At 50.5% G+C, this 26,998-nt stretch overlaps 1 protein-coding gene and 1 pseudogene across 2 annotated transcripts in view, besides 3 other annotated features; one reads left to right on the plus strand and one right to left on the minus strand.

Moving 5' to 3' along the window:
* Nucleotides 1-26,799, minus strand: part of SLA2 (Src like adaptor 2) — a 33,879-nt gene extending 7,080 nt beyond the window's left edge. For both annotated transcript variants that reach the window (NM_175077.3, NM_032214.4), the window contains exons 1-5: nt 26,440-26,799; nt 21,848-21,981; nt 15,093-15,192; nt 14,146-14,232; nt 13,198-13,301 (exon numbers count right to left, since the gene is read on the minus strand). In NM_175077.3, coding sequence (NP_778252.1) covers nt 13,198-13,301; nt 14,146-14,232; nt 15,093-15,192; nt 21,848-21,938 — 382 coding nt within the window. In that variant the 5' untranslated portion in view covers nt 21,939-21,981; nt 26,440-26,799. The remainder of the gene's footprint in view (nt 1-13,197; nt 13,302-14,145; nt 14,233-15,092; nt 15,193-21,847; nt 21,982-26,439) is intronic.
* On the plus strand, nt 1,005-2,042 carry HNRNPA3P2 (heterogeneous nuclear ribonucleoprotein A3 pseudogene 2; annotated as a pseudogene).
* Nucleotides 10,840-10,949: an enhancer, noted in NCBI's record as "active region_17814". NCBI's record gives its function as "activates an Ori minimal core promoter by ATAC-STARR-seq in GM12878 lymphoblastoid cells {active_cell/tissue: GM12878}" and the evidence as "EXISTENCE:reporter gene assay evidence [ECO:0000049][PMID:35858748]".
* Nucleotides 13,629-14,130: an enhancer, noted in NCBI's record as "H3K4me1 hESC enhancer chr20:35261429-35261930 (GRCh37/hg19 assembly coordinates)". NCBI's record gives its function as "activates a minimal SCP1, AML or CMV promoter by ChIP-STARR-seq in naive H9 embryonic stem cells {active_cell/tissue: H9 hESC(naive)}" and the evidence as "EXISTENCE:reporter gene assay evidence [ECO:0000049][PMID:30033119]".
* Nucleotides 23,432-24,102: an enhancer, noted in NCBI's record as "OCT4-NANOG hESC enhancer chr20:35271232-35271902 (GRCh37/hg19 assembly coordinates)". NCBI's record gives its function as "activates a minimal SCP1, AML or CMV promoter by ChIP-STARR-seq in naive and primed H9 embryonic stem cells {active_cell/tissue: H9 hESC(naive and primed)}" and the evidence as "EXISTENCE:reporter gene assay evidence [ECO:0000049][PMID:30033119]".

Raw genomic sequence — 26,998 nt, forward strand, 5'->3', positions numbered from 1 at the left:
CGCCTGTAATCCCAGCTACTTGGGAGACTGAGGCAGGAGGATTGCTTGAACCTGGGAGCAGGAGGTTGCAGTGAGCCAAGATCACGCCACTGCACTCCAGCCTGGGCAATATAGCAAGACTCTGTGTCAAAAAAAAAATTGGAGAGACTGAAGTGGGAGGGTCACTTGAGGCTAAGAATTAAAGACCAGCCTGGTCAACATAGAGACCCCCTTCCCATGTCTGTACAAATTTTTTTCTTTTTTTTTTTTTTGAGACAGAGTCTCGCTCTCTCACCCAGGCTGGAGTGCAGTGGCGCCATCTCGGCTCACTGCAAGCTCTGCCTCCTGGGTTCACGCCATTCTCCTGTCTCAGCCTCCCAAATAGCTGGGACTACAGGTGCCTGTCACCACACGTGGCTATTTTTTTTTGTATTTTTAGTAGAAACGGGGTTTCACCATGTTAGCCAGGATGGTCTCGATCTCCTGACCTTGTGATCCACCTGTCTCGGCCTCCCAAAGTGCTGGGATTACAGGTGTGAGCCACCGTGCCTGGCCAAAAAAAAATTTTTTTTTAATTAACCAGGTGTGGTGGTGTGAGCCGATAGTCACAGCTACTCAGGAGGCTGAGGCAGGAGAATCACATGAACCCAGGAGGCAGAGGCAATTATTATGCCACTGCACTCCAGCCTGGGCGACAGAGCGAGATTCCACCTCAAGAAAAAATAAAAACAATGCTGGGCGCGATGGCTCACACCTGTAATCCCAGCACTTTGGGAGGCCGAGGCGGGCAGATCACGAGGTCAGGAGTTCAAGACCAGCCTGGCTAACATGGTGAAACCCCATCTCTACTAAAAATACAAAAATTAGCTGAGCGTGGTGGTGGGCGCCTGTAATCCAGCTACTCAGGGAGCTAAGAATCACTTGAACCGAGGAGGCAGAGGTTGCAGTGAGCCGAGATTGCGCCACTGTACTCCAGCCTGGGCAACAGAGCTTGACTCTGTCTCAAAAAAATAAAATAAATAAAATAAAGAAGATACAGAAGAATATAATTTGAGAGACCTCTGAAAAGTATGGCAAGATTAAAACCATAGAAGTTATGGAAGACAAGCAGAGTCGAAAAAAGGATTTGCTTTTGTAACTTGATGATCAAGATATAGTTTTTAAAATTGTTCAGAAATACCACACTGGCTTTTTTTTTTTTTTTTTTTTTTGAGACAGAGTCTCCGTCTGTTGCCCAGGCTGGAGTACAGTGGTGAAATCTAGGTTTACTACACCCTCCGCTTCCCAGGTTCAAGGGATTCTCCTGCCTCAGCCTCCTGAGTAGCTGGGATTACAGGTGTGCACCACCAAGCCTGGCTAATTTTTGCATTTTTAGTAGAGACAGGGTTTCACCTTGTTGGTCAGGCTGGTCTCGAACTCCTGACCTCGTGATCCACCCGCCTAGGCCTCCCAAAGTGCTGGGATTACAGGTGCGAGCCACCACGCCCAGCCAGAAATACCACACTGTTAATGGGCATAATGGTGAAGTGAAAAAGGCCCTTACTAAATAACAGAGGTAGCCTGCTGGATGGTAAGTAGTCGTGGAGGTGGATCTGGCAATTTTACAGGTTACAGAGGAAACTTTGGAGGTAGTAGAGGTAATTTTGGCTGCAGTGGAAACTTTGGTGGAAGAGAAGACTGTGGTGGTGGAGATGGTGGCAGCAGAGGTAGTTATGGAGGAGGTGATGGTGGCATCAATGATGGTGAGCCTGCTTATAGCAGTAGACGGGGCTGCTGTGGTGGTGGAGCAAGATATGAAAACCAAGGTGGTGGATATGGTGGCGGTGGCGGAGGATATGATGGTTACAATGAAGGAGGAAATTTTGGCGCTGGTAACTATGCTGGTGATGGGAACTATAATGATTTTAGCAATTATAGTGGACAACAGCAATCAAATTATGGACCTATGAAAGGAGGCAGTTTTGGTGGAAGAAGCTCAGGCAGTCCCTATGGTGGTGCTTATGGATGTGGTGGTGTAAGTGGTAGATATAGTAGCAGAAGGTTCTAAAAACAGCAGAAAAAGGCTATAGTGTTGTTTTTTTTTTGAGACGGAGTCTTGCTGTGTCACCAGGCTGAAGTGCAGTGGCGCGATCTCGGCTCACTGCAGGATCTCTGCAGGAGAATCGCTTGAACCCGGGAGGCAGAGGTTGCAGTGAGCCGAGATCGCGCCACTGCACTCCAGCCTGGGTGACAGAGCAAGACTCCATCTCAAACAAAACAAAACAAAACAAAAAACAAAAACTGAACATCACTTGCTTAACAATGAGGATAAATGTAAAATTAAAATTTATTTTAAAAATAAGAACTAAACATTGGCCAGGGACAATGGCTAATGCCTGTAATCCAAGAACTTTGGGAGGTGGAGGTGGGAGAATCACTTAAGCCCAGCCAGGAATTTGAGACAAGCCTGGATAACATGGTGAGAGTCTTTCTCTACAAAAAATTTAAAAATTAACCAGGCATGGTGGTACATGCCTGTGGTCCCAGCTACTCCAGAGGCTGAGGCAGGAGAATCGTTTGAGCCTGTGACGTTGAGGCTGCAGTGAGCCATGACTGTGCCACTACACTCCAGCCTAGCCAACAGAGGAAGACTCTGTCTCAATCAATCAATAGCTGAACATTGGCTGGGTGCGGTGGCTCACACCTGTAATCCCAGCGCTTTGGGAAGCCGAGGCAGGTGGATCACCTGAGGCCAGGAGTTCAAGACCAGCCTGGCCAACCCATGGTGGAAGTTGCAGTGAGCCAAGATCATGCCACTGCACTCTAGCCTGGGTGACAGAGCAAGACTTGATCTCAAAAAAAAAAAAAAAAATTAGCTGGGCATGGTGGCATGCGCCTGTTGTCCCAGCTACTCAGGAGGCTGAGGCAGGAGTATCTCTTGAACCCGGGAAGCAGAGGTTGTGGTGACTCAGCCTGGGCAACAGAGCGAGACTCCATCTCAAAAAAAAAAAACAAAAAACTGAAAAACCACGATCACCTGAAAAAATGCAGAAAAATCATTTGACAAAATTCAACACCCTTCATGATTAAAAAAAAAAAAAGCAGAAAACGATGAATAGAATATGTTAGTTTCCTATTGCTGGTGTAACAAATTACCATCAATTCAGCAGCTTAAAATAACACAAATTATTATTTTACAGTTCTGGAGGTTAGAAGTCTGAAATGAGTTTCACTGGACAAAAATCAAGGTGTCAGCAAGGCAATGTTCCTTTTGCAGACTCTAGAGAAGAAATCCATTCCCTTTTCCAGTTTCTAGAAGCCATATGGATCCCTCTGCTCATGGCCCCTTCCTCAGTCTTCACAGCCAGTAGCATCTTCCTGTCTCTAACTCTCACCCTCCTACCTCCCTCTCGTAAGCATCCTGGTGATTATATTGGGTCCATCTGGACAATCCAAAATAATCTTCCCACCTCAAAATCCTTAATCACATCTGCAAACTCTTTTTGCAATGTAAGGTAACATATTCACAGGTGCTGCAGATCAGGACCTGAACATTGTTGGGGGGGATGATGATTCTGCCTACCACAGAAGAGTACCTGATACAAAGCATCTGTGAAAAATCTACAGCTAAGGCTAGGTGCGGTGGCTCATGCCTGTAATCCCAACACTTTGGGAGGCCGAGGCTTGCTGATCACCTGAGGCCAGGAGTTCAAGACCAGCCTGGCCAACATGGTGAAACCCCCATCTCTACAAAAATAGAAAAATTAGCTGGGCATGATGGCGTGTGCCTGTAATCTCAGGTACTCCAGAGGCTGAGGCAAGGTATTGTTTGAACCAGGAGGCAGACGTTGCAGTGAGCCGAGATCAGGCCACTGCACTCCAGCCTGGGTGACAGAGTGACATTACATCTCAAAAAAAAAAAAAAAAAAAAAAAATCGACAGCATGCTTAATAGGAAAGATTGATTATTTTCCATCTAAGATTGGGAACAAAGCAATAATGTTCTTACCGCTTCTACTCAGTGTTGTACTAAAGGTCCTAACAAGTGCAATAACACAAGAAAAATAAATTTAAAGTATATGGATTGGAAAATAATACAGCTGCCTTTACTTACAGGTAATACAATCATATGTAGATAATCATAAGGAATCTGCCAAAAAGCTACTAGAACTAAAAGTAAATTTAGTAAGGTGACCCAGAGTCAATATGCTTTGAGAAGTGTATTGACCCCAGTAGGGTCTCTGCTTCGTTTTCTTTGTTTTCTTTGCCTGACTGGGAGCCCTTTGACCTTTGTACCTTTATTTTTTTTTTCTTTTTCTTTTTTAGAGACAGTTTCACTGTGTTGCTCAGGCAGGCCTCAAACTCCTGGGCTTGAGTGATCCTGTTGCCTCAGCCTCCCAAGTAGCTGGGGCTATAGGTGTGCACCACCACGCCTGGCCTGTATTCTGTACCTTTGAGAAGAGTCTCTTCTTGAGCTGTGCTGTAACCCTAAAAAATTCTGTGGCTGGGAATGCGCTAAATATTTGAAAATAGGCCCAGAAGGCCAACCAACCCAGCTGAACTAGTGACCAAGACCTTATAACTTTTGCATGGTTCTTGAACCACCCACCCCAGCCACTGTCACGACAGTTATTAGAATCAGAAAGGGTAGCTACACTTGGGATCTGGTTGGTGGTCTCAGGGATAAAGAGGTCAGGAGTCATCCATTCCTGATTGCTTCCTGTCTCAGCCTCACATCCAGCCCAACAGAAAGCCCTGTTGGGTGTGGTCAGAACACAGCTAAGATCCAACCACTTCTCACCTGGAGAGAGCCTACTACGGCTTCCTGCGCGGCATCCTCTCTTCTCAGCAGGAAGGAGGGGTCAGGTCGTCTCATGCCCCTACTCAGAATCCTCCCTGTCACACTTAAAATCAATCCCAAGTCCTCTCCCTGGAAAGGCTCTGTGTGACCTGACTCTAAACTCGCCACTCCCCTCATCCTGTCTTCCCTGACCGCCTGCTGAGGACGCGCCTCCCTGAGGCCTGTACTCACACTCACACCCTGGCACTCTGTGTCCTCTGAACGCTGCTTTGTTTCCTCTTGGCACTTATCACTCTCACACTCTTTTCTTATTTGTTTACTGTCCACCTTGCCAACTAGATTGTGGGCAGGAATCTTGCTTTTCATACTGCAGAATCTCGTGTTTTGAACAGTGCTTGGCACAAAGTCAGCACACAGTATCTATTTGTTGAATGAATGACTGAGTCTCTGTGATAAACACTCGGACGGAGCCACGATTACAAGCAGTTTTAAGGAGAGCTCATCACCATTTGCACTCCTACTGTCTGTGAGCACAGATGGTGTTGGGAATGATTCTTGAAGGCCTATCATTGCATGATTTGCAGCAAACACATATTGAGCATTTACTAAGACCTACCCTTCCCTGAGGACAGAGGGCCCACCCAGAGCCAGCCCTTAGCTGAAGACGGAGTGCTGTGGGGCACACAGGTCCAGTTGACTGACAGGGGAGCAGGTCACTAGGGGTGATGAGGAGGTGACTTTGGTTCTGTCCTTGGAACTGATGCTACAAACAGCCTGAATCTTCCTGTTTGGGGGGCAGTCTCTCCCAGCTCTTCATCCTCTCTCCCCCTCTCAACATGCATAGGTGTACTCACCTGCTCATTCATTTATTCAGTAAACATCTGCTGAGCACCCACCACATGCTGGACACTCTGCTCTGGGCCCAGACACAGGTATGAAATCATCACACTCGGGGAAATAAGTGCTGTCTTGTCAGCACATCCACAGCTGGGATTTTCCTTAATGGTCCTCATTTCAAGTATTTAGTTCCTGTATTATTCTCATCAGACCACGTACCCTGATTTTTTTTTTTTTTTTTTTTTTTGAGATGGAGTTTTGCTCTTGTTGCCCAGCCTGGAACACAATTGCATGATCTCAGCTCACTGCAACCTCCACCTCCTGGTTTCAAGCAATTCTCCTGCCTCAGCCTCCTGAATAGCTGCCATTATAGGTACCTGCCACCATGCCTGTCTAATTTTTTTGTATTTTTAATAGAGATGGGGTTTCACCATGTTAGCCAGGCTGGTCTCGAACTCTGTCCTCAGGTGATTCCCCCGCCTCGGCCTCTCAAAGTGCTGGGATTACAGGCATGAGCCACTGTGCCCGGCCATGATTTTGTTTTAGGAAATAAATTTAGCCAGCTGTGGTGGCTCATGCCTGTAATCCCAGCACTTGGGAAGTCTAAGGCGGGAGGATGGCTTGAGCCCAGGAGTTCGAGACCAGCCTGGGCAATAGAGTGAGATCCTGTCTCTACAAAAATTTAAAAGTTAGGCATGGTGGTGCACGCCTGTAGTTCCAGCTACTCAAGAAGCTGAGGTGGGAGGATCACTTGAGCCCACAAGTTCAAGACTGCAGTGAACCATGATTGTGCCACTGCACTCCAGCCTGGGCAATAGAGTGAGATCCTGTCAAAAAAAAAAAAAAAAAAAGCTGGGTGTGGTGGCTCATGCCTATAAACCCAGCACTTTGGAAGGCCAAGGTGGGCAGATCACCTGAGGTCAGAAGTTCAAGACTAGCCTGGGCAACATGGCCAAACCCTGTTTCTACTCAAAATACAAAAATTACCTGGGCCAGACATGGTGGGTCACGCCTGTAATCTGAGCACTTTGGGAGGCCAAGGTGGGTGGATCACTTGAGGTCAGGAGTTCAAGACCAGCCAGGGCAACATGGCAAAACCCTGACTTTAAAAAAAAATACAGCTGGGCGCAGTGGCTCATGCCTGTAATCCCAGTACTTTACGATGCCAAGGTGGGTAGATCACAAGGTCAAGAGATCAAGACCATCCTGGCCAACATGGTGAAACCCTGTCTCTACTAAAAATACAAAAATTAGCTGGGCGTGGTGGCACGCACCTGTAATCCTAGCTACTCGGGAGGCTGAGGCAGGAGAATTGCTTGAACCCAGGAGGCATAGGTTGCAATGAGCCGAGATTGTGCCACTGCACTCCAGCCCAATGACAGAACGAGACTCCGTCTAAAAAAAAAAAAACACACACAAAAATTCGCAGGGCGTGGAAGCATTCACCTGTAGTCCCAGCTACTCAGGAGGCTGAGGTGGGAGAATCGCTTGGGCCTGGGAGGTGGAGGTTGCAGTGAGCCGAGATAGTGCCACCGCACTCCAGCTTGGGTGACCCTGTCTTAAAAAAAAAAAAGTCTGGGCGCGGTGGCTCATGCCTGTAATCCCAGCACTTTGGGAGGCCCAGACGGGCAGATCACAAGGTCAGGAGATCGAGACCATCCTGGCTAACATGGTGAAACCCCATCTCTACTAATACAAAAAATTAGCCGGGTGTGGTGGCAGCCGCCTGTGGTCCCAGCTACTCGGGAGGCTGAGGCAGGAGAATGGCGTGAAACCGGGAGGCAGAGCTTGCAGTGAGCCGAGATCCCGCCAACTGCATTCCAGCCTGGGCGACAGCAAGACTCCATCTCAAAAAAAAAAAAAAAAAGAGGAAAAGAAAAGAGATAAACCTATTATAGCTACAGAAGAGGTATTTTCAAGATGCTATGGGAGTTGAGAACAAAAATTGACATAGTATGGGAAGGCGATAGCCTGGGTAGGTGATAGTCTGGGAAGGCGATAGTCTGGGTAGGTGGTAGTCTGGGAAAGTCCCACTGGAAAGAATGGCGAAGGATGAGTGTGAGCTTGCCGTGAGGAGAAGCGGAGGGCAGGCTTTCCAGATGGAGGGAGGGGTATGTGTAAGGATGCAGCGGTAGAAAGAACAAGGTGTTTACAGAGTGGCTGGTGGGCAGAGGGTCCAGAGGGAACAGTGGAAGCTGTGGCTGGACGCGGAGCCTAGAGGAGGACCCACCAGAAAGAAAGGCCAAGTATAAGGTCCTAATTTCAGAAAGCTCCAGCAGGCTTAGGCAACATCACCTCCGGGACCTCTGGGGTCAGGTATTCCAGTGATGATGCTGGGAGTGAGGGATGAGGGATCAGATAAGGAGCTGCATGTGAGAAGTGGGCCTAGCAGGACCCTCCTGAACCTTCTCTGCTGAGGCCTCTAAGAAGCTTTAGGGATTGAATGTTGCACCCTCCACTGTCTGCACCCTGAGGACAAAAGCCATGACTTAGCAGGCCTGACTCGGAGGAGATGCTCAGTAAGTGTTTCCCAACTGACAGTGGACAGAGGTGAGCCCTGCAGGGGCAGGAACCACGTCTTGCTCATCAATCTCCCTTATAGTGCCTGACACAGAACAGATATACAGCAGGACAGCGCAGAGGGGCTGCTGCTGGGGCCTGTCCCTAACCCTGTGCTGACCTCTGCACAATCCTGTGACCTCCACAAAGCTTCTAGGCCCCCTTCACGGAGCAAGATTTGGGGCCTGACTAGAGCCTGGCCATGGCTGTCCCGAGGCCTATCATATAGCCAGGTATGCCAGAAGGACTTGGGAAGATGGGGTCTTCCTGCTCCGGACTCTGATTAGTGTTCCTGGTAGCTCAGGGCCCCAGGCCTTCCTCCTTGGTCCACATGCAGGCTTGAAGCTCGTGTGGAATCAGTGCCTTTGGGCCAATGAAAAGCTGATCCTGGCATCACTCACTCACTTGGTCAATGGCTAATTCCCATTATATACGACAAGAGCATAATGTAAAGTACATTGTCTCTTATTACTTCATTCTGGGTTCCCTAGATTGGAACTCTGTTTTCAAACTCAAGAGAACAATAGAACCATCCAGAGAGCCTGTCCAAGAAGCAGATTTCTGACCTCTGCCCCCAAAAGTCTGATTCAGTTAGGTCTGCGGTAGGGCCTACAAGTCTACAGTGTCAACAAGTTCCCCTGATGAGTCCTGTACACTCAAGTCTGAGAACCACTGTTCTATGACGTCACTTGGGCCCCTAGAGTCACTGTGGTGTCAAACCACAGTATAAAAGTTTACACTGTGACGCAGGACACACCTTATACAAAATCTGAAACAAAAGTTTTATGACGCAATGTTTACCCCAACCATGGTCATGTTCTCTGCTCAATTTCACTACAAACACGCACTGGTCCAGACGCACTAAATTAGTGGGTTCCGACCCTGGCTACCCATCAGAATCACCTGGGCAGCTTTTACAGTGTGCAGGCCACATCCCTGACCAGTGAGATCAGAAACCCTGGAGGTGGGGTACAGGCATCAGTGTTGATTTATTGAATTTATTTATTTATTTGAGACAGGGTCTTGGTCTGTCACCCAGGCTGGAGTCCAGTGGTGTGATCATAGCTCACTGCAGCATCGACTTCTTGGGCTTAAGTGATCCTCCTGCCTCAGCCTCCCAAGTAGCTTAGACAACACGCACATGCCACCACACCTAGCTAACTTAAAAAAAAATTTTTTTTTTTTAAGAGATGGGGGTCTCCCTTTGTTGCCCAGACTGGTTTTGAACTCCTGGACTCAAGTGATCCTCCTGCCTTGGCCTCACAATGTGCTGGGATTACAGGTGTGAGACACTGCACCTGGCCCCTAAACTGATTTCTTGACCCACAAATCAACCATGACCCGCAGGAAAATTTTACCTTTCCTGGAAAATTGGCAAATTTCTTCTTTCTTTTCTCCTCCCCCAACTAACATTTTTCATCTTCCTCTTTGATAACAATAGCTGCATCCTGATCCATCTCCTTTTGGAATTGACTATGGGGACCTGGAGACCTTAGTCCCGGTAATTATGAGGATTTTTTTTTTTTTTTTGAGACATAGTCTCGCTTTGTCACCCAGGCTGGAGTGCAGTGGTGCGATCTCGTCTCACTGCAACCTCCACCTCCAGGTTCAAGCAATTCTCTAGCCTTAGCCTCCTGAGTAGCTGGGATTACAGGCACCTGCCACCATGCCCGGCTAATTTTTTTGTATTTTTAGTACAGATGGGGTTTCGCCATGTTGGCCAAGCTGGTCTCAAACTCCTGACCTCAGGTGAGGCCTTATGTGGATCTTATGAGTCTTTAAAGATCTTCATGGATCCCGCTGGGCGCGGTGGCTCATGCCTGTATCCTAGCACTTTGGGAGGCCAAGGTGGGCGGATTATCTGAGGGTCAGGAGTTTGAGACCAGCCTGGCCAACATGGCAAAACCCCGTTTCTACTAAAAATACAAAAAAAAAAAAATAGTCCGGTGCAGTGCCTTACTCCTGTAATCCCAGCACTTTGGGAGGCCGAGGTGGGTGGATCATCTGAGGTCAGGAGTTTGAGATCAGCCTGGCCAACATGATGAAACCCTGTCTCTACTAAAAACACAAAAATTAGTTGGGCATGGTGGCATGTGCCTGTCATCCCAGCTACTCAGGAGGTTGAAGCAGGAGACTCGCTTGAACCCAGGACGTGGAGGTTGCAGTGAACCGAGATCGCACCACTGCACTCCAGCATAGGCAACAGAGTGAGACTCTGTCTCAAAAAAGTATAATAATTATCCCGGTGTGGTAGCACTCGCCTGTAATCCCAGCTACCAGGGAGGCTGAGGCATGACAATCACTTGAACCCAGGAGGCAGAGGCTGCACTGAGCCAAAATGTGCCACTTCACGCCAGCCTGGGCGACACAGTGAGACTCTGTCTCAAAAAAAAAAAAAAAGTCTCCATACGGCTTTCTCTTCTCACTCACAGAGTTTTCTCTTTGCATCTGTGTCTTTTTAGGTAAGGGGCAGAGTGGCCATAAGGGCCAGCCACTATATTCTTGGGGCTGACCCAGGCCAGAGAATGGGCCAGGGGAGGGGAGCTGAGCACTGAGCACTTCCTGTGGCTTCTGAAGCTCCAGGGGACAGTCTGCAGTGGGGCCCTGCTCCACTCCGCAACGCTGCTGTGGTTTCCTGTTTGCAGCTGCTGTGCTGGGCTGGCCTCCCCAGCCCCTCTACCAGCCTATGGATGTATGTGAGGTGGGGGTGCTGATGCTGCCTAGAAAATAGCAGGAGGGGCCTCAGAGAGGTCAACCCAAGAACGCCCAAGGGCAGGAGAGGAGAGACAAAGAAGCTGGAAAGGGTCCTGGGAGGGAGACTGAGGCAGAGAACGAAGGGTCCCGACAGCCTATCACAGTTGGTTCATATCAAGGCGGGCGCCAGGAGGTCTGTCCATTCCTGATACCTCCTTCCCTGGTCTGTTGCTATGCTTGCAGTGCCAACATTACTGCCCCACGTGGGCCTTTCTTGGGGGCCTGGAGTGAGAGGAGGTGTGGCTGGGTTTGAATCCTGGCTCTGCACTTACTAGCTGTGTTTCCCCAGGCAAATTATTTCTCTTCCCTAAGCCTCAGTTTTTCCATCTGTAAAATGAAGACAATGGAAGTACAATCCCCATACATTGTTTTAAGTCACTTAAAGGGCTTAACATAAACGTGGGGGCTGCTGCTCCTTCAACATCCCTCTTTGCCTCTGCCTTAAAGGACTCAGGGGCAGCAGCTCAGAGGGAGGCAGGGTCATCAAAGAGACAATCAACTTTGTGTTTTGATTGCAAAAGACCCTGCACCTGGGGTGGGAGAAGCCCCACATGAATGTGCATGTGGCCCGTTCCTACTCCTCTTTGGTCCAGTTTTTCAGTCTGTACAGTGGAGCGAGGAGGATCCATGAGATGACTTCCAGTGGGTTTCTAGCTCTGACTGGCTACTGACCCAAGAGATCCTGTCACCATTTTAATGTTTTGCCAAGAGATCAGAATCATGTTGTGTCTTGGGGAAGGAGGAATCACCTCCTAGTCAACGCAGAGAAATTCTGTGACTATACTCTATTAAAAATCCTAGTTGCCAATGTGTTGGCTGAGCCTAGATCCCTACTGTGGGCCATTCACATTCACTTTTATTTTTTGAAATGGAGTCTGGCTCTGTTGCCCAGGCTGGAGTGCAGTGGTGCAATCATGGCTCACTGCACCCTGGAACTCCTGGACTTAAGTGATCCTCCCACTTCAGCCTCCGAAGTAGCTCGGACTACAGGGATGCACCACCATGCCTCACTACATTTTAAATTTTTTTGTAGAGAAGTGGTCTCATTATGTTGGCTAGGCTGGTCTCAAATTTCTGGGCACAAGTGATTCTCCCACCTCAGCCTCCCAAAGTGCTGGGATTACAGGTGTGAGCCACAGTGCCCGGCCTGTATTATTTTTAGAAATGCAGATTTTTGCTCTATTGCTGATAGGCTCTCATGGCAGCAACATGGCAGATGACAGCCAGACTGCTAGACACCAAGGCTAGGAACTCCAGCCCTTCACATTTGGCCTTCTGCCCCACCCTCAAGTCATATCACACTTGGCTCTTGGCATTGGAGGGGCAAGCCCTGGCATCACTGTGGATCTCAAATAGAGGTATGTTTCCCAAACTCTGTGCCATGGAACACTGGCTTCCAGTGACCCAGGAGCTCCCTGAGAGCAGGGACCATGGCCACCTCACTCAGCAGAGATGCCTAAGGCCTGACACATACAGTAGGTCCTGTCCTTCCCTGAAGCCTCCCCACATCATAGGTGCTGGAGAAGCATTTGCTGAATGAATGAACATGGAGTGACTCTGACTGGTGCTGCATGATGAAACACTCCTGTGTCAGAAACACTTGGGAAATGCCCAGTTAGGCAAACGCGACGCCTTAAGAAGTCTTGTGTTAACACGGATTGTGAACCTCTCAGAGAAGGATACGATTTTCGGGGTCCCCTAAACTGACCCCCCATCTCCTCTACTTCTAAGCAGGTGGCCCACAGAACACACTCAGAGAGTCCCTGTAATGCATCCTCTCGTTTCCCCCAAAACACACGCCCAGCACTGTGTCTCTGCTGAGTAGCAACCCCACTGCCTTGGGAGAAAACCAAAGCTTCTCAGCTCGGCATCCAAGGCCTCTGTGCTGGAGCTTGCTCACTTCTAACCTCCTATTGTCCCGAGGTGCAGCCCACTGGCCCACCCCAGCACCACTGTGTCTTGTTGCCTGGGATCCTGTGGGAACATCCCTCAGGATCCCAGGTCCACTCCTCCAGGTCCACTCATGGTCTATTCCTCCATGAAGCCTCCCTTGATTGCTCCAAAGTTAGCTGCCTCTCCTCTGCTTTCATGGCCTGTCTCCATCTCCCCCAGCCTGGGCTCCACATGGTTCATATGGGCAGGACACGGAGCTGGGGCTCAGGAAATCTTGGTTGACTGAGAAGTCAGGCAAAGCCTATTTTCTGGGCCGCACCTGCAGCCATATATCTGTGGGCTCCTTTCTGAGACCTCCACGTAGGGAGGGCCTGGGCTGGCACCGAGCTTACTCACCTCTCCTGGTCTGGCTCTCCCGGATGAGGAAGGCCCCTCCAGGGTTCCCAGGTAACAACAGCAGTTCCTCTGCTTTCTCCCTGCTCAGGCCCTCATACAGCCACCTGGCGGAGCGAAAGAGAGGGACAAGGGACAGGGTCAGCCTGGAGGAAGAGGGAAGCCAAGATTTTACCACCACCGCTGAGTGACCCTCACAAGGCCCTCCCTCTCTGGGCCTCAGAGTTCTATCTGCTCCACGAAGAGCTGGGCTCAGGGTCTCCGAGGTCCATGCCATTTTTGTCCTCCCAGTCCTGGCTCCAGGGCCCTGGGAGGACAAACTCATGGGGACAGCCTCAGCTTTCTCTGCCTGGAGACCTCATTCCCCCAAGTAACCTGGGTTGGTCCCAGCCTCTCTGCTATCCCTGCTCAGTCCCCAAAGCACCCTGATTCTATCCACTCACCTTTCTAAGCCTCAGCTTTCCAAGAGCTGCCCCTCTGTTTTTTTCTTTTTTTACTGAGACAGGCTCCTGCTCTGTGGCCTAGACTAGAGTGCAGTGGCGCAATCACGGCTCACTGCAGCCTTGACCTTCCAGGCTCAGATGATCCTCCCACCTCAGCCTCCCTAGTAGCTGGGACTACAGGTGCGCACCACTGTGCCAGCCCCTCACGCCACATGCTGCCATCTCCTACGTGGACTTTTCAGCATTTTCCACCACGAGATCCTGGCAACCTCCAAAGCCCAGAGCTCCACACCTCCTCTGTGGGCCTTCCCAAGCCCTTCCTCTGGCTCCCACATCTCACAGGCCAACCTGTGCTAGGATGAGCTGTCTGCCCCTCTTGAGGGCAGGACCTGGGTTCGATTCTCCCCCATCCCCAGCTTTGCTCAGCGCAGAGCCGTGCACAAAGGGGAGTTCTTGTGGGAGGAGAAAGCAGGAAGCTCTGCAAGGCGGGCCTGGGGTGGGAACTCACCCATGGGAGACTTTGGCCACGTGGACGCTGGGGATGTTATACTCTCTGCCTGAGACTTCAGACAGCACCGTCCACCAGTCTCCATCCCTGGAGAGAGAAAGGAGTGGGGGCACCTCTTTCAGATGAGCCAAGGCCCCGACAACCACACATTCAGGGCTTGCAAGGACCCTCTCAGGCTGGATCCTGTGGCCACCTGTCCTGCCTGTTTCCCAGGCTTCCCTGCACTAGCCTGTCCAGGTACCTCCTGAGTCAGGGCTGGGGCTGGTGGTAGATGCACAATTCCAGGCTCCCTGCTACAGGGCGCTGCCCACCCACTGCTTCTCCCTGTGGGGGTGTCCAGCCGCCTGAAATTCCACCACAGGGTTTCTGTGAGCGCTTCAGCAAAGGCTTGTGCTTTTCTACCTGGGGGAAGGGCCCCTTCTCCCGGGACAGTATCTCTAATTCCTTCCTTCTTTTATTTTTTTGAGACAGAGTTTTGCTCGTCGCCCAGGCTGGAGTGCAATGGCGTGATCTCAGCTCACTGCAACCTCCTCCTCCCAGGTTCAAGTGATTCTCCTGCCTCAGCCTCCCAAGTAGCTGGGATTACAGGCGTCTGCCACCAAGCCCGGCTAATTTTTGTATTTTTAGTAGAGACGGTTTCACCGTGTTGGCCAGGCTGGTCTCGAATTCCTGACCTCAGGTGATCTGCCCACCTCAGCCTCCCAAAGTGCTGGGATTACAGGTGTGAGCTACCACGCCTGGCCCATTCATTTATTTTAGAGATGACAGGGTCTTGCTGTCACCCAAGCTGGAGTGCACTGGCTTGATCATAGCTCATTGCAGCCTTGAGCTCCCGAGCTCCAGCGATTCTCCCACCTAAGCCTCCCAGACAGCTAGCGCTACAGGCACACACCACCATGCCTGGCTCTATTAGTGCATATTCAGGTATCCAGTGCCCATGGACTTACTCAGAGACGATGGTCAATGGCTCCCCGAGTCTCAGCGACAGCTCGGCCGGGCCACCTGCCGGGAAACTGCCCAGGGCCACGGCTGTGGCCTTGCTTCTCTCTAGATGGAGGGACAGAAATAGTCACCTACTTAGCTAGCCCTGCTCCACGCATGAGGTCTAGTGGAGTCTGGCCTGGGTCTGGCTCCCAGCATCAGCCCTCCACAAGCACCCTGAGGGAGTCCCATCCACTTCCTAAGAGGGCCACCCTGGAATCAAGCTTTTCCAGCAGAACTTTGCAGAGCCCTGACAGTGCCCAGAGAGAGAGAGAGAGAGAGAGAAAGAAAGAAAAAAAAAATAGTGATAGGGTCTTGCTCCATCACCACTGCACGTAGGCTGAGCGACAGGGCAAGATCCTATCTCTAAAAATTAGGCTCAATGCAGCCTTGACCTCCCGGGCTCAAATCCTCCAGCCTCAGCCTCCTGAGTGGCTGGGACTACAGGTGTGCACCACTACACCCGGCTAATTTAAAACAATTTTTTAGTAGAGATGAGGTCTTGCTATGTTGCCCAGGACACGGTGGCCATGAGGCTCAGAATGTGGTGACCATAAGGCCCAATTTCAAGGCTGGGCATCAGGCGGCAAGGGCACCCTCAGCACAGCACCCACGCCCTCAGCCACCCCAGAGGGCAGCCTGCTCAGGCCAACCAGACTCCCTATGACCGCCGAGCCTTGTAGCCTGAAAATCCAGGTTTCAGCAGCTGCTGAAGGCCACTCACTGCACCCTAGCATCCCTCCCTTCTTCCCCCTTGTCCTTTTTCTGTAAGGATTCCTTAGCACATAAACACATTAAGTAGGAGAAGCAGCCAGGGTCAGCAAGAAGGGTCCCTCTGCATCCTAGATGCCCCTGTAGGAAGCAAGGTCTTAGAGGACTCTGGTGTGCCCTTCAGATGGAGCTGGGACCCCAGGAAGTGGGGCAGGGGAAGCAGACGAGCAGACAAGGATGGGGGTGTTGGGTGGCGGCACCGTGTGGGCTGAAGGGCCTGTGCTCCGGGTGGGCATGGGAAGACCGAGGCTGATTCTGGAAATGGACTAGTTCCCCACATCCTCCCAGACACGTGTGGAGACCCTGCAGTGAACCCAGCCTGGAGAGCTCCCCAGGGGTCTGTCCTCTGAGGTCTCTGAGGCATAAGGCCTGGCCATTCCACAGTGCAGAGAAATGTCTGATGCTTGGACAAATGATGCACACCTTGTGATGGGTGCTCTCTGATGAGAATGGGAAAATGTGGCCTGGGAGGGCCCCTTCCCCTCCTGGAAGCCCTGGCCTTGCACTCCCGGGGGCAGCCACCCAGCTGCATACACTACACTGTCCCCCTGAATGGCCTCACTCTGCCTGGCTGGCTTACCTTCATCCTTCATTTCCCAACTGAAATGTCCCTTCTTTCAGGAAGCCTTCCCTGACCAACCACCTCTGCACACACTCTTGGTCAGAATCCCTTAAAACATACTGCCACCAAAATCCAAGTTCTAGTTGGTTACGGGTTTAGCACCTGTCCCTGGGGCTCAACTGTCCCTGAAGTCATGGACTGTGCCAGTCTTGTCCACTCCTGTGTCCCCAGGTCCTGTCACAAGGCCTGGCATGTGGTAGATTTAAAGTGGTTGCAAGAGGCCGGGCGCGGTGGCTCACGCCTGTAATCCCAGCACTTTGGGAGGCCGAGGCGGGTGGATCATGAGGTCAGGAGATCGAGACCATCCTGGCTAACAAGGTGAAACCCCGTCTCTACTAAAAATACAAAAAAAAAATTAGCCGGGCGCGGTGGCGGGCGCCTGTAGTCCCAGCTACTCGGGAGGCTGAGGCAGGAGAATGGCGTGAACCCGGGAAGCGGAGCTTGCAGTGAGCCGAGATTGCGCCACTGCAGTCCGCAGTCCAGCCTGGGCGACAGAGCAAGACTCCGTCTCAAAAAAAAAAAAAAAAAAAAATACAAAATTAGCCCTATGTGGTGGTGCACGCCTGTAGTCCCAGCTACTCAGGAGGCTGAAGCAGGAGAATCACTTGAACCTGGGAGGCGGAGGTTGCGGTGAGCGGAGATCACATCATTGCACTCCAGCCTGGGCAACAAGAGCTAAACTCCATCTCAAAAAGAAAAAAAAAAAAATATATATATATATATATATATATATATATGGTTGCAAGACTGAGTGGCCGCAGTGGCTCACGCCTGTAATCCCAACACTTTGGAAGGCCAAGGCAGGCAGATCGCCTGAGGTCGGGAGTTCCAGACCAGCCTGGCCAACATGGTGAAACCCCGTCTCTACTAAAAATACAAAAATTAGCTGGGCTTGGTGGTGGCACGTCCCTGTAATCCCAGCTACTTAGGAGGCTGAGACAGGAGAATCGCTTGAACCCAGGAGGTGGAGCTTGCAGTGAGCCAAGATGGCGCCATTGCACTCCAGCATGGGCAACACAGCAAGATTCCGTCCCCCACCCCCCCCAAAAAAAGAAAATGTGCTTTAATCTGTTTTACTGTAGTGGTGACAGATTAATACCTTGTTTGACAGAATTCACTCACAATTCTCAATAATTCTTCTTTGGGGTAAGTAAATCTGCTCTGAATTGTCTTGGCTCATCAGTGTTTGCTTGTCAGCATTTTCTGTAATTGAAATAGAAGTGAGGTGACCCTTGTTCTATTAGTCAAGATCTACCTCTAAGGTGCGCGTGTGTGTATTTTTTTTTTTTTTTTTTTTTTTTTTGGAGACGGAGTCTCGCTCTGTCGCCCAGGCTGGAGTGCAGTGGTGCGATCTTGGCTCACTGCAACCTCTGCCTTTCAGATTCAAGTGATTCTCCTGCCTCAGCCTCCTGAGTAGCTGGGATTACAGGCACCCACCACCATGCCTGGCTACTTTTTGTAGTAGAGATGAGATTTCACCACGTTGGTCAGGCTGGTCTCGAACTCCTGACCTCGTGATCTGCCCGCCTCGGCCTCCCAGAGTGCTGGGATTACAGGCGTGAGCCACTGCACCCAGCCTACCTCTAAGGTTTCAATCCTTTTGAGCCCAGTACTCTTGTTTGAAATGTCCAGTTGTAAACTTTGCTACATATTTGCAGGCACATTGATGTTATTTCTTCAACATAGGCTCATATTCTGTGAAGTTTGCTTTTTTTTTTTTTTTTTTTTTTGAGACAGTCCTGCTCTGTTGCCCAGGCTGGAGTGCAGTGGCATGATCTTGGCTCACTGCAATCTTGACCTCCTGGGTTCAAGCGATTCTCCTCCCTCAGCCTCCTGAGTAGCTGGGATTACAGGCACATACCACTATGCCTGGCTAATTTTTTTGTACTTTTAGGAGAGACAGGGTTTCTCCATGTTGTCCAGGTTGATCTCGAACTCTTGACCTCAGGTCTGCCTGCCTCGGCCTCTTTTTTTTTTTTTTTTTTTTTTTGAGACAGAGTCTCACACTGTCGCCCGGGCTGGACTGCAATGGCATGATCTTGGCTCACTGCAACCTCCACCTCCTCCTGGGTTCAAGTGATTCTCCTGCCTCAGCCTCCCGAGTAGGTGGGATTACAGGCACCCACCACCACGCCCAGCTAATTTTTTGTATTTTTAGTAGAGACGGGGTTTCACTATGTTGGTCAGGTTGGTCTTGAACTCCTGACCTCATGATCCGCCCTCCTCAGCCTCTTAAAGCGCTGGGATTACAGGCATGCGCCTGGCCTGAAGTTTGCTTTTTTTTTAGTCAGCTCTGTAAAACAGTGTGCTAAGATTTTCACATCTTTAATTATCACATGGTTGAGGAGACTTCTACGTTACAAATGAAAAACTTGAGATGGGGAATTTAGGCAATTTATTGTTTTTGTTTTGTTTTGTTTTGTTTTGTTTGAGACAGAGTCTTGCTCTGTCCCCCAGGCTGGAGTGCAGTGGCTCGATCTTGGCTCACTGCAACCTCCACCTCCCAGGTTCAAGCAGTTCTCCTGTCTCAGCCTCCAGAGTAGCTGGGACTACAGGTGCATGCCACCACGCCCGGCTAGTTTTTGTATTTTTAGTAGAGACAGGGTTTTACCATATTGGTCAGGCTGATCTCAAACTCCTGACCTCAGGTGATCCACCTGCCTCAGCCTTCCAAAGTGCTGGGGTTACAGGCATGAGCCACCGCCCCTAGCCAATTTAGGTGATTTAACCAAAGTCCCAGTAGCAAAACTTGCACAACAGCCATATAAGGCACATGTCCCTAGGCTCTGTCCAGGGGAACAAGTAAATACACCATGAAGTAGTGTGATCTTGTTATCTGTGCTGGTTAATTTTATGTGTCATTGTGGCTAGGCCACACAACCCAGATATTTGGTCAAATACCAGTCTAGATGTTGCTGTGATTGAGATTGAATTTATTTATTTTTTTGAGACGGAGTTTTGCTCTTGTTGCCCAGGCTGGAGTGCAGTGGTGTGATCTCGGCTCACTGCAACCTCTACCTCCCAGGTTCAAGTGATTCTCCTGCCTCAGCCTCCCAAGTAGCTGAGATTACAGGCGTGCGCCACCATGCTCGGCTAATTTTGTATCTTTAGTAGAGATGGGGTTTCACCATGTTGGTCAGGCTGGTCTCAAACTCCCACCCTCAGGTGATCTGCCCGCCTCGGCCTCCCAAAGTGCTAGGATTACAGGCGTGAGCCACTGCGGTCAGCTGAGATTGAATTTAAATCAGTAGAACGAGTAATGCAGATAACCGTCCATAATGTGGGTGGGCCTCGTGCAATCAGTTGAAGGTCTTAAAAGAACAAGACTGACGTCCTTTGAGGAAGAGGGAATTCTGCCTCCAGACTGTGGTCAACTCAGGACTGCAGCATCAGCTTTTCCCTGGGTCTCCAGTCTGCCCTGCAGATTTCAGACTTACAGCCTCCACAACTGTGTGAGCCAGCTCCTCAAAAAAAATCTCTACACACACACACACACACACACACACACAACTATTGGTTGTGTTTCTCTGGAGAACCCTAATATATTATCGAAATCCCTATCAAGGTGTGACTTGAGAAAGGATTTGTGGTCTGTTTTGGGAGAAGAAGAAACAGACCTGGGGCCATAGTTCCAACATCAAAATACTAGAATTGCGGCCGGGTGCAGTGGCTCACGCCTGTAATCCCAGCACTTTGGGAGGCCGAGGTGGGTGGATCACGAGGTCAGGAGATTGAGACCATCCTGGCTAACACAGTGAAACCCTGTCTCTACTAAAAATACAAAAAAAAAAAAAATTAGCCAGGCGTGGTGGCGGGCACCTGTAGTCCCAGCTACTCGGGAGGCTGAGGCAGGAGAATGGCGTGAACGCAGCAGGCGGAGCTTGCAGTCAGCCAAGACTGTCCCACTGCACTCCAGCCTTGGAGACAGAGTGAGACTCCGTCTCAAAAAAAAAAAGAACAAAAAAACTAGAATTGCTAGGATATTTTTATTGTTCAACTGTCCAAGAAACTGGGAGTTTTAGTCAAGACTATATTAGAAAATCATGGTTATAGACTCAGCATATGCATTGTATATGCTATTTTTCCACCATTAAGACAGCCCTGGCAAGGGCCAGGCATGGTGGCTCATGCCTGAAATCTCAGCACTTTGGGAGGCCAAGGCGGGAGGATCATTTGACCCCAAGAGTTCAAGACCAGCCTGGGCAACATAGGGAGACTCCATCTCTACAAAAATTTTAAAATTTAGCCAGGCATGGTGGCATGTGCCTGTAGTCCCAACTACTCGGGAGGCTGAGGTAGGAGGATTGCTTGAGCCTGGGAGGTTGAAGCTGCAGTAAGCTTCACTGCACTCCAGCCTGGGAGACAGAGCAAAACCATGTATTAAAAAATATATATATACCACAAAAATAAAAAGACAGCCCTAATTTCACTTCAGGTAATTTCATAGTACCTCTCGGGTCCACTAGGACAGTATAGCAGAACTTTCTGCAACAATGGAAATGTTCTATAATTGTGTGCTGTCTAACAAGGTGGTCACTTACTACGTGTGCTATTGAGCACTTAAAATGTGGCTGGGGTGATGAAAGACCTTTTTTTTTTTTTTTTTTTGTTAGACGAATTTTCACTCTGTTGCCCAGGCTGGAGTGCAGTGGCATAGTGGCATGATCTCGGCTCACTGCAACCTCTGCCTCCCGGGTTCAAGTGATTCTCTTGCCTCAGCCTCCTAAGTAGCTGGGATTACAGGCACCCACCACCATGACCGGCTAATTTTTGTATTTTTAGTAGAGACGGGGTTTCACCATGTTGGCCAGGCTGGTCTTGAACTCCTGACCTCAGGTTATCTGCCCGCCTTGGCCTCCCAAAGTGCTGGGATTACAGGCGTGAGCCACCGTGCCCCACCCTGGCCTAAAATGTTAAATTTAAGCAGTTACGTGTGGCTGGTGGCGACTGCAATGGACAGTGCAGCTCTGGGGGCTGGGGAGGTGGGGCTGGCCAGCTCGGTGTTTGGATAAACAACTGGTTGAGAAGGAGGGAAGCCTTGGGAAATGCCTGGGGGACTGTCATGCCCTCCTGGTTTAATATTCTGGTTAGTGCCTGTTGCTTTCTCCTGTTTTCTCATTTATGCCATTGTTTACTGTTCTTACTGCTAAGGTAGGCTGTATAGGAGCAGGGACCCTGCTGTATGGCTCAGTAGGCAGGGCCTGGTATGCAGCAGGCCCTCAGCGGTGCTTACACTGTGTTGGAGCTGCTGGCCAGGAAGGCCCACAGAGGCAGTGAAGTCTAGTACTGTGTGGGAAGAGCCTGGCTGTCACAGGCCCTGAGGCCTACCTGCTTCCATGGTCACAGGTCCCTGGCCTTGGACAGAGGAACTCAAGCTTGGGCTTGGCAGAGATTTTCTTCTGCTGGGCAGACTTCCCATTGTTCCTCAGCAGAGCACTCAGAAGCACATCATCGAGGGAAATCTGAAAGAGACACAGTGATGGGGACAGAGCCGAGGCTTCTGGCCCAATCTCAGATACCTCTCCCTCCCCAGATCGGCCCTGGCTACCTCCTCACAGAGCATGTGAATGACCTCCCTCCTGTGGGACCAGGCTCCAGCCTCTCTGCCAGCCTCTGAAGGCTTCCTGCACATTGGACGCTGTTTTCTCCACATCTCATCTTTTTTATGCCACAACAGGCTCAACTTTTTCTTTCTGGGCCTCTGCTTGGGTCCCTCCGATGGGCAGTCATGCCCTCTCCTCTCCTTCAGTCCTGTTTGGATCCCATTCTTCCTTCCCCAGGAAGCCTCCCAGCCCCTAGCCTTTGTTGATCACTCCTTTGAATTCCTATGGCTCACTTAGAACCCTTTCTCTGACCCGGGATCACACTTGGCTACTGGGTGGCAGGGGACAATGACAGGACAGTGAGCTTCCTCCAGGCATACCAGGAACTGTGGCTTGGATCAGAGGTCTGCAAGGAGGGCTGGGTGTGGTGGCTCATGCCTGTAATCCCAGCACTTTGGGAGGCTGAGGCAGGTGGATGACCTGAGGTCAGGAGTTCAAGACCAAGACCAGCCTGATCAATATGGTGAAACCTCATCTCCACTAAAAATACAAAGATTAGCTGGGCGTGGTGGTGTGTACCTGTAGTCCCAGCTACTCAGGTGGGAGGCTGAGACAGGAGAATTGCTTGAACCTGGGAGGCAGAGGTTGCAATGAGCCAAGATCAAGTCACTGCACTCCAGCCTGGGTGACAGAGGGAGACTCCCTCTCAAAAAAAAAAAAAAAAAAAAAAAAAAAAAAGGACCGTGGGTTGTATGATGCAGTGATGACTTGCAAGGCTTTAGGGGACTGACTGTTGAGCCACTTCCCCTCTCTGTGCCTCCTTTTCCTCATCTGAAAAATGGGGATAACAACACTCAACATACAGGTCCGAGAGATAACGCACATGAAAACCCTGACCAGCCCCCTGTTTCCTTTACCACGTCCTGAATGTCAGTTCATCAGCGGCCTCTCCTGGGAGCCTCCCCAGGAGGTGTCACTCCGTCACCCAGGCTAGAGTGTAGTGGTGTAGTCCTAGCTCATTGCACCCTTGAACTCCTGGGTTCAGGGGATCCTCCCACCTCAGCCTCCCAAGTAGCTGGGATTACAGACATTAGCCACCACATCCAGCCTCTTTGCAAATTTTGTTTTGTTTTGTTTTTTTAATACAGAGAGTTTCACTCTTGTTGCCCAGGCTGGAGTGCAATAGCACGATCTCAGTTCACTGCAACTTCCGCCTCCTGGGTTCAAGCGATTCTCCTGCCTCAGCCTCCCGAGTAGCTGGGATTACAGGCATGCACCACCACGCCTGGCCGATTTTGTATTTTTAGTAGAGATGGGGTCTCCCCATATTGGTCAGGCTGGTCTTGAACTCCCGACCTCAGGCGATCCGCCCTCCTCGGTCTGCCAAAGTGCTGGGATTACAGGCATGAGCCACCGCACCCGGTCCTTTTTTCTTAAGTTACGGGCTCATGCCATGTTGCCCAGGCTGTTCTTGAACTCCTGGGCTCCACCAATCCTCCCACCTCAGCTTCCCAAAATCCTGGGATTACAGGTGTGAGCCATGGGACCCAGCCTCCCTTGGGAAGTTTTCATCATTCATTTGAGAGTTTACTTGTTTAATCTGCCACTATCCTGTAACTGCATGAGGACAAAGACTTCTTTTGTTTGCCTATTACTCAGCATTTAGTGAGGCATCACAGAAAGCACTCAGCACACATTAACTAAATGAGACTGTTAGCTCTTCAGACAGGTAGGTGTCTTATCGTTAGAATAGTTTAAATCCCCGGATTTCCAGGGTAGTGCTGATTTTTCCAAACACTATTTTAAAGTGTTTGGGGAGTGGGAGGCGGAGCTTTGTCTTTCTTTTCAGATGGTTTCATTCTTTTCAGTAGGGACAAGGCACAGTTACACAATTGGCCCAGTTCAGCTGATATTCATGGAGCTTCTGCTCTGTGTCAGGCACCTGCCAAGGACTGGTGGTCCCTGGAGGGGAACCCATGCACCTTACTCTGGAGGAGATCACTGAATGGGGTGGTGACAGAGTGGGCTCATTCCTTGCCTTTGAACCCCACACTGCCTGGATGAGGACGGGCGTCCATCAATATCATGGAGTGATTTCTGTGGCGTCCTGGACCAGTCCTGTCTGGGGAGTAAAGATCCTACCTTAGAGCATGGAACAGCCCTCTCTGTTCTTCAGTCTCATGTTGTTGACATGGGAATAACAATACCTGGGCCGGGCGCGGTGGCTCATGCCTGTAATCCCAGCACTTTGGGAGGCCGAGGTGGGCAGATCACATGAGGTCAGGAGTTTGAGACCAGCCTGGCCAACATGGTGAAACCCTGTCTTTACTAAAAATACAAAAATGAGCCGGGTGTGGTGGTGGGTACCTGTAATCCCAGCTACTCGGGAGACCGAGGCAAAAGAATCACTTGAACCTGGGAGGCAGGGGCTGCAGTGAGCCGAGATTGTGCCACTGCACTGCAGCCTGGGCGACAGAGCGAGACTCTGTACCCCCCTCCCGCCCCAAAAAACCTAATACCTGCTTGCTGCTCCCTCCGTATGGGGAGTTCGGCATTCATCTGGAAGGGAGCTCTTGAACACAGAATGGGCATATGGCATGGAAATGGGTCCTGACAGCCACTTCCTGCTCAGCCTTTTAGGATCCTGCAGCCTGGGTACACTGAAATGGTGCTGCTGTTCTTGAGGAGGTTTTTTGTTTTTGTTTTACATTATTGGGGTCTTGCTGTGTTGCCCAGGCTGGTCTTGAACTCCTGGGCTTAAGCGATCCTCCTGGGGAGGATTTTTACAAACCCAAGACCAGGAAACCCCAGGGAGAGAACCTCTGGCTTGGGTAGCATGAGTGCCCACTTGAACCTGGCTGGAGCTGTGTGGCCTCAGGCAAAGCATGCAAGCTTCCCCCGTCTCATCTGTGAACAAGGTGCACTACAGGCGCCACGGGGCTGTGGGGAGAGTTGCAGGAGTCTGGCACAGAGTGGGTGCTCAGTAAGGCTTAGTTTCCTTTCCCCTCCTTCAGGAAGACCACAGTTACCACCTGCAATAAACTGAGAGACTCCTTCCTGCCGCAGGTGGAGCTGGGGGCTGGGCCCAAAGGCAGATGGAGACAGGGGAGCTGTACTCAGGCTGAAAGCCTCCCCAAAGTCTCTGCAGCTCCCTTCACCTGGTCAAGGACTTGGTCAGGTCAAGGCCAATAAGCCCCTGGGGGCAAAATAAAGACCATACAATGGGCCAGCCTAGGAGGAGGCAGAGTATTAGCCGCACATTTTGTAAGACAGCATCAAATCATTAACTCTACAAATTTTTGAAAAACTTACTATGTGCCAGGCACTTTCCGGAGGACATGAGGCATCGGGTGAAAGGAAAAAGTTAGTCAACGGCAGCCGAGATGAGCACGCTGCCCAGAATATTGTGTTTTTTTTTTTTTTTTTTTTTTCAGTATCTCACTTGGGTCCCATTTCAGATACAGTGACCAAGTCCCTGAGAGGACAACCATGTGATTCTGTTCATGTAGCCCATTCGTGCAGGACTGGGCCTGCCATCATGTGTATTTTGTGCTTCTGAAGATCATTTTTCAGCAGTGGGGGTAAGAGTGATGAATTTGGCCAGGCACAGTGGCTCATGCCTGTAATCCCAGCAATTTAGGAGGCTGAGACAGGAGGATTGCTTGAGGCCAGGAGTTCGAGACCAGCCTGGGCAACATAGTGAGAACCCCCACCCCCACCCCCACCACCGCCTGCCATCTCTACAAAAATATAACGAATTAGCTGGGCATGGTGGTACATGCCTGTAGTCTCAGCTACTTGGGAGGCTAAGGCAGGAGGATCACTTGAGCCCAGTGGTTCAAGTCTATAGTTAGTCATAATTACGCCGCTGCACTCCAGCCTGGGTAACAGAATGAGACCCCAACTCAAAAAAAAAAATGAATTTGGATTGAGTTAAAGGGAGACCTCTCCCTCTCTTCCAATTGAGAAATATCACCCCTTTGAGAGTGAGAGTGCACTGTAGGCTCTACAGCTGAAATGTCTTGAGAGATGGTAGCCCTCACGTTCCTGACTTTGGAGTCTGACTGCAGCGCAGAGAGGGGCCCAAAGTCACACAGCAAGTGCGCACCTGAGATGGGACTAGGACGGGCGTGAAGACAAGCTGCACGGAAGAGCGTAAGCTCCAAGAGGAGGTCAAAGGTGGAGCAGGTGAGTCTTGGTTCTTCTGGGACCCCCAGAAACCACCCCTCTTTACAGCCTCAGTAGAACCACTCCCCCTTCTCCTTGAGCTTGTTTTTTTCCCAACAGCAAATAAAGCCCAGTCCCAGTCGGGGCAGGGGAGACCATTCTTCCTCACCTGTCTCCAGGCCATCCAAGAACAAAAGCAAGCATACTTACTGGTTTGTCATCAAAGGCTTGGGAAGACAGCTCTGCTGAGACGCATGCTCTGGCTGGACAGGTTAGGGCTTTGGGGGCCCTTCTGGAAGTCTGCCAGTGTCCTTGGTCCTAGGACACCCAGAACTCTCTCAGCCTGGGAGGATCTTCAGGGAGAGGCTAGGTGTTGGTTTGGGTAGCTCAGCATCTGTCTGCAGTCAGCAGTTTGTACACCAGGGATGGATCAGCTGCCCCATGCTCCTTAGGGATTCTGGACTGGGGAACCCTCCCAAGCACAGCCGAGCCAGGGAGGGAAGGCCCAGGGCCCTTTGAGCTCTGTCACAGAGACACAGGCGTGGGGTCCTTGGAGCTCTAGCTCCGACTGCAGACTCTGTGGTTCTCACAACCACCCGTTTCCTCTGACGGCATCACAGACCGTCGAGGAGCCACCTTCCCCAAGTTCCTGTTTCTAGGGGAGCAGCTGCTGCCTTGTCATGATCGTGGAGCAAAAGGTTTTTCTCTGGCTTTGTGGCTTAGTCTTGTCCAAGGAACACAGGACTGAGGAAAATGAGCCGGAGTTCCC

Source organism: Homo sapiens, chromosome 20 (assembly GCF_000001405.40).
Source record: "Homo sapiens chromosome 20, GRCh38.p14 Primary Assembly".
Classification (NCBI taxonomy): Eukaryota; Metazoa; Chordata; class Mammalia; order Primates; family Hominidae; genus Homo; species Homo sapiens.